The following is a 13,044-nucleotide window of genomic DNA, read 5'->3' as shown; positions in this document are numbered from 1 at the left end:
GTTTACTAACACAACGTAATTATTCATGGATTGGCTTTAAATAAACTATTTTCTTCTTTGTTTACATTTTTCATATTTTTGTTGTTGTTGTTTTACCTCTTTTCTCCTTTCTTATTTTCTTCTGGAATTTTTGAATATTATTTAAAATTCAATTTTAGTTTATTCACTTTTGAGCTACATATTTTTATGTTAACTTAAAAATGTTATTCTGGGGATTACAATAAACTCCTTAATTTTTCCAAGTCTACTTATACTTAATATTGTACCACTTTATGTAAGCCATGAAAATCTTACAATGGTATGAGTCCGTTTTACTCACCACCAACATCTTTACATTATATTTATCACATATATTAAATATTCATACATTATAAATCATGTATACATATATAATGACAAAGTTAGTATTTTATATTTACCTATATATTTATAATTCTTGATTCCCTTCATCTATTCCTGAAGATTCAAGTCCTCTGGTATAATCTGCCTGAAGAACTCACTTTCAACACTTTTGGAGTATAGATCTGAAGGAAATAAATACCTTTAGGTGTTTTTTCTTCTTAATCTGAAAGTGACTTTATCTCACCTTCATTTTAAAGGATATTTTTCACAGACATAGAATTTTTGGTTGAAGATACTTTTTTGTGTGTGTGTGTCATCCTAAAGATGTCCCACAGACTTTTCTGGTTTCCAAGATCACTGCCCTCCAAATCACTGACCCCCAGTATGTCATGTCTTTTTTCTCTGGGTGCTTTGAAGATTTTCTTTCTCTTTTATGAAAGACCTGGTAGGCATGATTCTTTTTCCAAACATCCTGCTTCAAATTCACTGAATTTATTAAATCTGTAAATTCATGTCTTTCAACAAATTTGGGAATTTTTCAGCCATTATCTTTTTCAAATTTTTTTCTTTCTCATTCTCTTCTTTCTTTGCAATGGGAATACTAACTAGGAAATTGTCCCTTAAGTCCCAGAAGCGGTTTTACTTCTTTGTTTTTTAAAAATTCTCTTTTTCATAGCCAGTGATTTTTTGTTGTTGCTGTTGTTCTATCTTTAAGTTCACTATTTCTTCTATTATTTTCTTCCTGCTATTAATCCTACCCAGTGAAATTTAAATTTTGGATGTCTTACTTGTAGTTCTAAAATTTCCATTTAAGATTTCTCTTTTTTCTCCTTTTTGCAGGTGAATTTTGTTTTTGCTTTTTTAAAAAATATATTGTTTAACTTTTATTTTAGGCTAGGGGTGTATGTGCAGGTTTGCTATATAGGTAAACTTGTGACTGGGGGTTTGGTGTACAGATTATTTCATCACTCAGGTACTAAGCATAGTACTCAACAGTTTTTTTTTTCCTGAAACCTCCTTCCATCCACCCTCCTCCCTCAAGTAGATCCCAGTGTTTGTTGTTCCTCTCATTCTGTCCATATGTTCTCATTATTTAGCTCTCACTTATAAGTGAGAACAGGTGGTATATGGTTTTTCTGTTCCTGCATTAGTTTGCTAAGGATAATGGCCTCCAGTTCCATCCATGTTATACATGATCTTGTTCTTTTTTCATGGCCACATAGTATCCATATGTACCATATGGTGTATACGTACAACATTTTCTTAGGTTGGTTCCATGTCCTTGGTATTGTGAATAGTGTTGCGATGTACATATATGTGCATGTGCCTTTATGGTAGAATGAGTTATATTAGGATTTCTAAAAAAAAATAATTTTTGTTTTTCTGCCAAAAATACTTTTTTTAAAATTAAAAGAGTAAGGATATTTTCATTCACTTCATCAAGCATAGGCATAATAGCTGGTTTTAAATCCCATTCTAATAATTCAGAATCTGAATCATATCAGGTTGAACATTTGCTGATTTTCTTTTCCTTTTAGATTGGACTCCATTTTCATAGTATTTTTTATCTTGAGGAATTTTGGATTTTATATTGGACATTGTAATTGTCACGTGTAGCCTCTGGATTCTGTTACATTTATCTGAGATGGTTAGTGTTTTGTTTCAGCCAGCAATTACCTTGCTTAGACTGAATTGCCAAATGCTACACCTGTGGTGGGGTGTGGCTCAAACTTCAGTGAGATGCTTAAGCTTTAGTTGTGAGTTGCTTTCAATTTGCCACTTCATAACTGGTTCAAGTGTCAGCCACACTCTCATTCTGAGTTTATGTACATATTTAAGAGCTCCCCTTCTCTAGCATTCTCTTTGGTGGAGTTTCTTCCTCCCTTTCTGGCAGCCTAGATTTCTCCTGGTTTCTGAACAATGATGCCGAATCTTTCTGTGGTTGTTTTAGTCAGCAGTTCCCAACCTGTTTGGCACCAGGGACAGGTTTCATGGAAGACAATTTTTCCATGGACCAGGGGGTTTGTGGGGGCTGGGGGACAGTTTCGGGATGATTCAAGCATATTGCATTTATTGTGCACTTCATTTCTACTATTATTACATTGTAGTACATAATGAAATAATTATACAACTCACCATAATGTAGAATCAGTGGGAGCCCTGAGATTGTTTTACAGCAACTAGATGGTCCCATCTGGGGGTGATGGGAGACAGTGACAGATCATCAGGCATTAGATTCTCATAAGGAGCGCACAGCCTGTATCCCTTTCATGCGTAGTTCACAATAGGGTTTGTGCTCCTATGAGAATGTAATGCTGCCACCGATCTGACAGGAGGTGGAGCTCAGGTGGTAATGCCAGCCATGGGGAGCAGCTGTAAATAAACACAGATGAAGCTTTGCTCCCTTGCCCACTGCTGCTCACCTCCTGCTATGCAGCCTGGTTTCTAACAGGCCACAGCCCAGCACTGGTTCATGCCCTGGTAGTTGGGAACTGCTGGTTTTAGTCATCCCATTGCCATGGCCAATATTGCTTTGGTGTGACTACATCTGCCCCCAGCCTAAAGCTGCACCCAGAGAAAGGGAGAAGCTGTCATTCCCTTGATTCCAGATCTGACTTTCCTCCAAAATGACTAGCTTTTTTCAGAGACCCAGGGACTTCTTTGTTTTTGTATTTTGTCCAGTGTAAGGTAAATGGATGTGCTTTGGTCAAGTACAGGCCGAGGTAAACATCCTGCATGACTCAGCAGGATCGGAGTGCAGGTGCACAATTCCATGCATTATGTAAACACAGCTATGTAGCCATAACACGGGAAGGCTCATTACCTGGCTTGGAGCCACTATTGTTTGTAAAAGGTCTAACTGCCCTGCTGACGCTGTGCATATGGCATGCCCAGAGAAAGAAAGAGAGCCAGAGTGGTCTCTGCAAATGTGTTAGTTTTGCAGTTGAACATGGGGGAGCCAGGGCACAGGTTGGGCTTGTGCCCAGAGAGACGGTGAAGTTGCTGACTCTGTAAGGGAGAGCCGGTTGCCTGAAGGCAGGCCGCGGGGAGCCAGAAACCAGCTTGGGCTGAGAGGGAGAGAGTGAAGCTGCTGACCCTGTAAGGGAGAGCTGGCCATGCAGCTGTGAGTGGGAGCGGCAGGAGCCACAGCAGCTGCTGAGAAGGGCACAGCTGGAGCAAGCGGCTGAGATAAAGGTGGACAATGTAAGTAAGCTGCTGATGAGACAGACAGTGTGAGAGAGCTGCTGAGTAAAGCCATGTGTCATCTACCTGTCGTTTCTTGAGTGTTCTTCCAGCTCCCTACCCCCAACCACTCACTCCCCTCGGACCTCAGCTGGGGCTTGAACCTGACATCCAGAGTTTCTATATGTCATCTGTGGGAGAATTATACTGTCAGAGGATCACTGTTATGTACTGGAAATGAAAATACAAAGTGGTATTTTAAGACTGTAATGCCAGACCCAGGCTTAAAACCCTGTCATTGACTCTCATCACTTGTAGTCTAATTCAGTTTTTATGACCTCTTTTCCTACACTCCAGTCACAACAGATCTCTTTCAGGTCCTTGATCACACCGAATTGTTCCTGCCTCATTTTTTTTTTGGTAATGGTTTTTAAAAATTTTTCTTTCTTCTTGGAATGATCTTTCTTTATATCACCGAATTTGTTAAGGATTGAGTCTTTTTCTTTTCAGTTGAGTCTTAGCCTACTCATATCTATAGCTGTTATCCATTAATTCTGTATTATCCTATTTTTTTAAAAAATAAAGACACATTTATTACATATTTACATTGTTTTATGTTATCAAGAAGTGAAGATCAGTGATAGACTAGAGGACCATCTTTCTAATACTGTATCCCCAGTGCATGGCCCAGTGCTACATTCATGGTAAGGGCTCCGTAAACATGTCTGATGATGTTAATGAGTTGGAGTTCCATGCCAGGCTAACGGATAGACCATGTTTTGACGATTCACAGAATAACTCAAGGAATGAAGTTTGCCTTGAAATTCACAGCTCACAGTGGAAGCTAAGTGATTTTTAAAGAGGCAATCTGTAAGATAAATAGGAGTTGGCATTTTCCTTAGCTCTGAGCACTGCCATGGAGTGCCTGTGATTGCCTCTGTGGGATAATGAGTGGGCAAGCTAGTAAAAATCAAGAGAATATAAAATAAGGAGGAAGGGCTGCTCCACATGCCTCCTAGAGATGACCCTTTCTCTTCATTTGGCTGACACATTACCACCACTAGTTTGGCCATTCAAATATCATCTTTGCAGAGAAGTTTTACCTGAGTTCCAAATTAGGTAAAATGCTCTTTCTTCAGCAATCTATAAATACTTCTCCATCTGTACTTGCTATATTGAATTGAAGTTATTTGTGTATTTGCGTCTTTTCCACTAGAATGCAAGCTTTTTCGGGGCAAGACTGTGTCTCACACATCTTTGAATTCCCAACCAGGAGTGGAATGCCTAGCGTAGAGCAGACACTCCACGCCCATCTGTGTCCAAATTACCAATCCTTATAGTGGGGTTAGAGTACTAGAGTGTGTCTATTTTTTTCAGATAAAAGATAGCTGAGTCCAGAGATAACATAATAATGCTTCTTGACAATTTTTCCTGTTTCATTTGTAAATAAAAATAAACTGGGCCGGGTGCGGTGGTTCGCGCCTGTAATCCCAGCACTTTGGGAGGCCGAGGCGGGCGGATCACAAGGTCAGAAGATCGAGACCATCCTGGCTAACACGGTGAAATCCCGTCTCTACTAAAAACACAAAAAATTAGCTGGGTGCAGTGGCGGGCGCCTGTAGTCCCAGCTACTCGGGAGGCTGAGGCAGGAGAATGGTGTGAACCCGAAGGCGGAGCTTACAGTGAGCCGAGATCGCGCCACTGCATTCCAGCCTGGGTGACAGAGCCAGACTCCGTCTATAAATAAGTAAATAAATAAATAAATAAATAAATAAATAAATAAACCGAGCTGTACTGGCTAGAGAGCTCCAACTAGTATATGTCACTAACCAGCAGGCAGGAACTCTGACCAGGCATCCAAATAAGATATAATATGCTCAGCCCATCAAAATTTTACTTACAAACTAAATATCATGGACTCACATTTTTACAAACTGGCAGTTCCTCATTAAGTTAGGTTTCACTTTATTGCCAAAGTCATAATCATAGTTATAACACAAACATATCAGCAAGACTTTAGAATTCAAATAATTGCATATAATGAGATTGAGAAGTATTATGCTGGCTGTTTATGACATCATATATCAAATAATCTTTAGAGATATATAACAATTTTAAAATTCGTCTACTCATGAGAAAACCAAACATACATGAGCTAGTAAGTGACTGGACAGAAAGTTGTATTCTCTGGCAGTAAATCTATATCAATGTATGGAATACTTGGCTGGGTATGGTAGCTCATGCCTGTAATCCCAGGACTTTGGGAAATCAAGGCAGGAGGATTGTTTGAGATCAGGAGTTTGAGACCAGCAACATAGCAAGACCAATGTCTATTTATATTTAAAATATTTTTAAAATTATGTATATATATATACACACACACACACACACACACACACACACACACACACACACACACACGTAGAGACAGAAGATGGTTCCTAGAGTTTTACAAGCTCAAATTTTAAATGATTACTAGTTAATATTCATAACTAATAATAATAAATACTAGTTATTGTCAAATAATCTATTTTTAAAAAAGAAATTAGAACAATATATTACATAAAATAAAATTCCACAAATTCATTACATTATCCAGGAAAACTTACTCCATGTATGACCAATGAGAAATTAAAATCTTTACTGAGCATTCTACCAATTAAGCAACACTGTTCTACAACTCTTGAGTTTTGATCATGAATCCTTTGTATTACTATAAAATACCTAGCTGTGTTTTGATGTTATCATGAAAGATATATTTAGCGTCATTTTGGGGTTATATTTTACATTCTTTTAATTCTTAGGAGATTGATATTTTATTCCAAGTATTTATGCCTTATCTCTACACATCAGCATATTCGATGATCATTTTCTTGTTAAGGAGCTTACAAAACAGCAAATGCCATATACGTTAACAATATCATTAGCACTGTTAAAGGCAGCCCCCTAATTTTTATCTAGTAAATATTGTTCACAGTTTACGCCAAGTAACAAATGCATAATTAACCTCAATAGAGAGAAAATACCTACTCAGCACCTTAGGAAAGGATTTGGTTGAGTTATGAGTCATCTCATTTTGCAAAGTAGCAATAAAAATGAGTCTTTGGTTTTGCACAGAGGTAGCACTGGCATTTACAACAGATAATTAAAGGAGAAAAATAACTTCTGCATTTTATCAGAAAAGGGCATTTTTCCCAAGCCATTAATTTTTGCCACTGAAGATTTCATTTATCAAAGAAATATCTCCACAAGTCTTCAAGGGCCCAGTTATTCCCCAGGGACTCCCAGGACTGTGACTTACCTTATGAAAGTTTCTGAAATAAGCTGCCTTTTCATCTGGAAATTTTTCTAACCTTCTGGGTCCTTTGCTAGAAGCCTTCTTGAAAACCAACCAGCATCGTCTGAAAATCTGAAAGCAAATAAAGGAATCCCATTATCCATATTTTTACATGAGTTTACGACATTAGGAGTTGATTCAATTAATCAATTTTTTAAGTGTACTTCAGAGAGGAACTGTTTTTGATTGACAAACATGTTCTTAATTAAGATTACAGTATTTTTAAATATGATATTTCATGTAAAATAATTTTTTGTGAAAAGATTTCGTTTTGAGGTTTTCACTGTACTGGCTGATTTTAGTAGTCTTTAATATAACTAAATCATCTGGATGTCAGTACCATATAAATTATTATCACCATCCTAGTGACAGACAATTCTCCATCTTCCATGCTAGTGCAGTGGCAGGTTAACAAAGTTAAGTGAAGCACTTACATAATAATTATCTATCTTTGAAAAAAATCACATTTGAAAATTTACTTATCTTGTAGAATTTTAGATTTTTAAAAACAGATGTTCATTAGTAATTTTGAAAGCAGCAAGAAATATATTTTTATTATGAACACATGTGTCTCACACTTTTGAACTTCTGTAATAGGAAGTATTTATTAAATACATGCAATAAATTAAAATTTATATACATATTTAATACTCATAGTGAAATGAGATTAATGTAAAATAGGCATTACTTTCATTTCAAGATGAAGTTTGTGCCAATGTCAGGATTTGAACACACACACCTGAATCTTTTTTTTTTTATTATACTTTAAGTTTTAGGTTATATGCGCACAATGGGCAGGTTTGTTACATATGTATACATGTGCCATGTTGGTGTGCTGCACCCATTAACTCGTCATTTAACATTAGGTATATCTCCTAATGCTATCCTTCCCCCCTCCCCCCACCCCGCAACAGGCCCCAGTGTGTGATGTTCCCCTTCCTGTGTCCATGTGTTCTCATTGTTCAATTCCCACCTATGAGTGAGAACATGCGGTGTTTGATTTTTTGTCCTTGTGATAGTTTGCTGAGAATGATGGTTTCCAGCTTCATCCATGTCCCTACAAAGGATATGAACTCATCATTTTTTATGGCTGCATAGTATTCCATGGTGTATATGTGCCATATTTTCTTCATGCAGTCTATCATTGTTGGACATTTGGGTTGGTTCCAAGTCTTTGCTATTGTGAATAGTGCTGCAATAAACATACGTGTGCATGTGTCTTTATAGCAGCATGATTTATAATCTTTTGGGTATATACCCAGCAATGGGATGGCTGGGTCAAATGGCAGTTCTAGTTCTAGATCCCTGAGGAATCGCCACACTGACTTCCACAATGGTTGAACTAGTTTACAGTCCCACCAACAGTGTAAAAGTGTTCCTATTTCTCCACATCCTCTCCAGCACCTGTTGTTTCCTGACTTTTTAATGATCGCCATTCTAAGTGGTGTGAGATGGTATCGCATTGTGGTTTTGATTTGCATTTTTCTGATGGCCAGTGATGATGAGCATCTTTTCATGTGTCTTTTGGCTGCATAAATATCTTCTTTTGAGAAGTGTCTGTTCATATCCTTCGCCCACTTTTTGATGGGGTGGTTTGTTTTTTTCTTGCAAATTTGTTGGAGTTCATTGTAGATTCTGGATATTAGCCCTTTGTCAGATAAGTAGATTTCAAAAATTTTCTCCTATTCTGTAGGTTGCCTGTTCACTCTGATGGTAGTTTCTTTTGCTGTGCAGAAGCTCTTTAGTTTAATTAGATCCCATTTGTCAATTTTGGCTTTTGTTGCCATTGCTTTTGGTGTTTTAGACATGAAGTCCTTGCCCATGCCTATGTCCTGAATGGTATTACCTAGGTTTTCTTCTAGGGTTTTTATGGTTTTAGGTCTGACATTTAAGTCTTTCATCCATCTTGAATTAATTTTTGTATAAGGTGTAAGGAAGGGATCCAGTTTCAGCTTTCTACATATGGCTAGCCAGTTTTCCCAGCACCATTTAGTAAATAGGGAATGCTTTCCTCGTTGCTTGTTTTTGTCAAGTAAAAAGAGTCTGCATTGCCAAGGCAATCCTAAGCCAAAAGAACAAAACTGGAGGCATCACACTACCTGACTTCAAACTATACTGCAAGGCTACAGTAACCAAAACAGCATGGTACTGGCACTAAAACAGAGATATAGACCAATGGAACAGAACAGAGCCCTCAGAAATAATGCCACATATCTACAACTATCTATCTTTGACAAACCTGACACGTCTGAATCTTAAGCTTTGATTGAAAAAAAAACCCAGACTACTAATTACACTGACACAAACCATAATTTCTGAACCTTGCCTTTATTTTATAGGACTGATTAATATTAGACCTGTAAATTGTTCATTATCTACTTTCCACCATATCACACTCCCTCAACAGATATGTTTAAAGACAAGGTAATAAAATGAATCTTTCTTTCCAATAATTGAAGAAGTCTAAAAATGCAAATTGGCCACAACTTTTAAATTTAAAAATCTAGTGTATTCTTTGCTGGTGGATAATTTCTTTATGCCCATGAGGAAATCAATAGAAGGAAACTTCTGAAATCTAGATCACAATATTTCTCTTCTATGTCTTCATTTAAATTGCAAAGTTGTCATATTGTTTTTTTACAAATATAGCCTAGATAATATAATTCCTTTGAAGTGTGCATTGCTTATTATTCACTAGAAGACAGTCTTTTCCATGTTAAAAGGCATTCTTGCAACAATCACATAAAGGCCTCTCATTATAAAAGTAGAACAACCAAGCATATCCGTAAGTTGATTTTACTCTTTCTTTCTTACATCCTTTTCAGGAGCCTTGAAAAGCATGTGCAGGATAACCCTGAACTTCCTACACACATGAACATGCCTCTCCTCTGCCTGATCAGATGCACCTTCCCTAACAAACACTTCCTAACCATTAACCTGAAAATTATGAACTATATTACTCCTTTAGAGCTCCTGGTGTTCTTTCTACATAAAGCTCCTGTATTTCACACATAATGTTGTAGTTATGTGCTTATTTGGCCCCTTACTTATCCACACTCCCAAAGTGAAATGTATTTAAAAAAACAGATGATTAGAATATGATCAGCATATGGTTTGTCTACCTTTAATTAACTTAATTCTACATAGATTTATTTAGTGCTGTAGAATTCTGCTTTTGAACTTAAATGAAGTAATTACATTTCAAGTGGTAACAGATTTTGGAAATGCAAACATCAAGAAGAGACAGTTTGATATAGTGGAAACTTAATAGAGCTCTGGAATCAGACAGACATAGGTTTACATTATGGCTATGCCACTTACTAGCTGTGCAACCTTACACAAATTACTTAGTGTCTTAGCTGATAAAGAAGGGTACCTCAAGAAACAGACGGAGGATTTACCAAGATGGGCTTATGTTCTAGTACACAGCATACTCTCCACAAGGCTCAGCCATTTCTCAAGCGCTTTTTTCTTATAGAGTAGGTACAATTTTCTGCACATGACAAAGCCATATGAAGGGACACTTTTTTCCTAGTGATATACAATTCTAATAAATATTCAGCTCCAGAATATTCAGATGCAAATATTTTGCAACCAGAAAAATTAGAGCACCATATAATTTTTTAAATAGAAAGCATATTAATGATCTCCCAAGTACAGACTATGAAACTACAAATATTGGACTTGGAATTCCAGCTCAGCCCTTGCTGGAGCCACATAACTTTGGGCAAGGCATTTATCTCTCTGAGCTTGTGTCCTTAAATTAGCTACGGACAATTAAGTGTTAAGTGTTAAAAAATTAAGTATGTAAAGCTCATGCCGCAGTGCATAGAAGGTAGTCAATAAACACAGGGTATTTTAATTCAAAATGGATAAAATGCTCTTGGCAACAGACCTTGTTCAGTGCATCTATAACCAATATGGGTATTTACATGTACTTTACAAATTATTGCTTGCATCAGTATAGTTTTAAAGTTTTCAAATGATTTTCATAATTACGAGAATTATATATAGTATCAATAAACAAAACCGTTTATTCCATTGAATACACATATGAGTTCCTACTATATTTCACAGTAGTTTGGAATATTTGTTAAGCAATATAACTATTTATATTGACATTCACTAATACATGACTGAAAAGAAAAGAAAAAAAATCGGCATCAAATTTGGTTTTCCTAAAATTACTCTCTTCACCATATAGCATGAAATTTTTGGGCAGGATAAATCACTTCACTCAGTCTTTAGTGAAATTCACACTTTTGTATTAGAATTCAGGATGTGATATTGTAATGCCTAAAAACAGTTTTTTAGTCACAACAATTTAATTTTTAGTGCAGGTTCTGCTATTCATTAAACACTTCCACTTGCAGAAGTTAAATTAAGATCAATATACCTCATGAAGATGCTCTTTGAGGATTACAAGACATAGCCTGAAGAAAGCATCTGGCATGTGAATTTGAAAAGTAATCCACAAACTCTTACCTGAAACTCTTGGGTTTCTGATACTGCCATGACTGAACTGCATCCCACAGAATTCATCTACTGATGCCCTAACTCCCAAGGTGCTAGTATTTGGAGATGGGGCCTTTGGGAAGTAAGTAGGGTTACATGGGGTCATGAGGGTTGAGCCTTGATAATGGGATTAGTGCTCTTACAAGAAGACATAGGAGACAACTTGCTTTCTCTCTCTCTTTCTCTGCTTACTCACAAGGAAGAGGTCACATGAGCACACAGTGAGAATGTGGCCATGTGCAAGCCAGGAAGTAATCCTTCACCAGAACCCAATGGGGCTGGCACCCTCATCTCAAACTTGCAAACTCCAGAACTGTGAAAAAATAAATTTCTGTGGTTCAAGCCACTAGCTATATGAAATTTTGTTACAGAAGCTGGAACTGACTAAGATACTTTTAGATATATTTTTTTAAAACTAGCAGTGATGGTAGGATAGTGCTGGTTGTGGTAGTTGTCAGAGTAATAATATTGGGGAAGTAAAAAACAGTTACATGAATCTAAGATTTGAGAGACTGCTAACAGAAAAAGATATCTGCAAAGTGGGATGTATAGAGATTATCAATATTTTATCTTTTAGCTATTCATTAATGGATTTGGAGTCTTAATTGAGGAGTAAAATTGAGACTCAAATCCCTAGTAATATAGTTGTTGTCTTTTTGTACAGAACAATGCTTTCCCCTGTACTGTCTGTCACTTTGTTACTCATAGCTTGGGAACAATCATGATGTTAAATGAAACCTTACAATATTCGTGGAAATATGTAAATACACATACTTGCTGACTGTAATTCCCCATCTGATGTTACTGTAGTTATTTTCTATTAAAGAGTGAGTTAAACATGAGCCAGAAGGCATATTTCTATGTAGGCACTCAATATTGTTTTAAAATAAACCTAATAATAGATAATAAGGAAAAAATAGATTTAATATTTTTGACAGCATCTTATCTCTTTGCTATTACATTAAGAAAGGCAATCACACAGAGATAAGACTGATTTTTAAAGATTCTATGTAATAGACTGTTTACCAAGTTGAAGCCCTTAAGTTATTATTTTTTTTCAATCTTGGAATAAGTTTAGGTTTATAAACAGTTGCAAAAATGGTGGAGTTCCTGTATACTCTATACAGCTTCCTCTGATAGCATCCTATATAACAATGGTACATTTTCAAAATGAATGCACTCATATTGGTCAAATACTATTAACTAAACTAAAGATTCTGCTCAGATTTTGTCAGATTTTTCTCGTCCTGTTCTGTTTCAAGATCTGACACAGGATATCAAGTTGCATGTAGTTGTTCTGTCTCCTTAGTCTCCTCTGATATGTGACACTTTGTTTTTCGTGACCTAAACAGTTTGGAAGTCTAATGGTTAGGTATATTGTACAATGTCCTTCATTTCTGTTTGTCTTAATTAAGTTATGTTTGATATTTTAAAAGTCTAATAAACATCTCATCAAATAATGAAAGCATATAATTTATTAGGAAATATGAATTCACCATGGCTATGGACTAGTCATATTTTGATCAGATCTCTGGCTGAATTTTAAACTTAAAGTAGCAAAAAAAAATCATTTAATAAATGCAGAGTTCCATCTTCTACCCCTCTTTGGACATGGTTTTTCAAAGTATTTTGCTTTTTAATAGGAGTAAAATAAAAAGGGCACTGGA

At 36.3% G+C, this 13,044-nt stretch overlaps 1 protein-coding gene across 1 annotated transcript in view; it reads right to left on the bottom strand.

Annotated features, from left to right (window-relative positions):
• The window catches only part of DOK6 (docking protein 6), a 448,200-nt gene that overhangs the window by 277,667 nt on the left and 157,489 nt on the right, over positions 1 to 13,044 (bottom strand). Inside the window, exon 2 of the mRNA NM_152721.6 lies at positions 6,827 to 6,934. Coding sequence (NP_689934.2) covers positions 6,827 to 6,934 — 108 coding nt within the window. The remainder of the gene's footprint in view (positions 1 to 6,826; positions 6,935 to 13,044) is intronic.

This window comes from Homo sapiens, chromosome 18 (genome assembly GCF_000001405.40).
Source record: "Homo sapiens chromosome 18, GRCh38.p14 Primary Assembly".
Classification (NCBI taxonomy): Eukaryota; Metazoa; Chordata; class Mammalia; order Primates; family Hominidae; genus Homo; species Homo sapiens.
The sequence above is the reverse complement of the archived record's forward strand: the minus strand, read 5'-3'. Positions and strand labels throughout refer to the sequence as shown.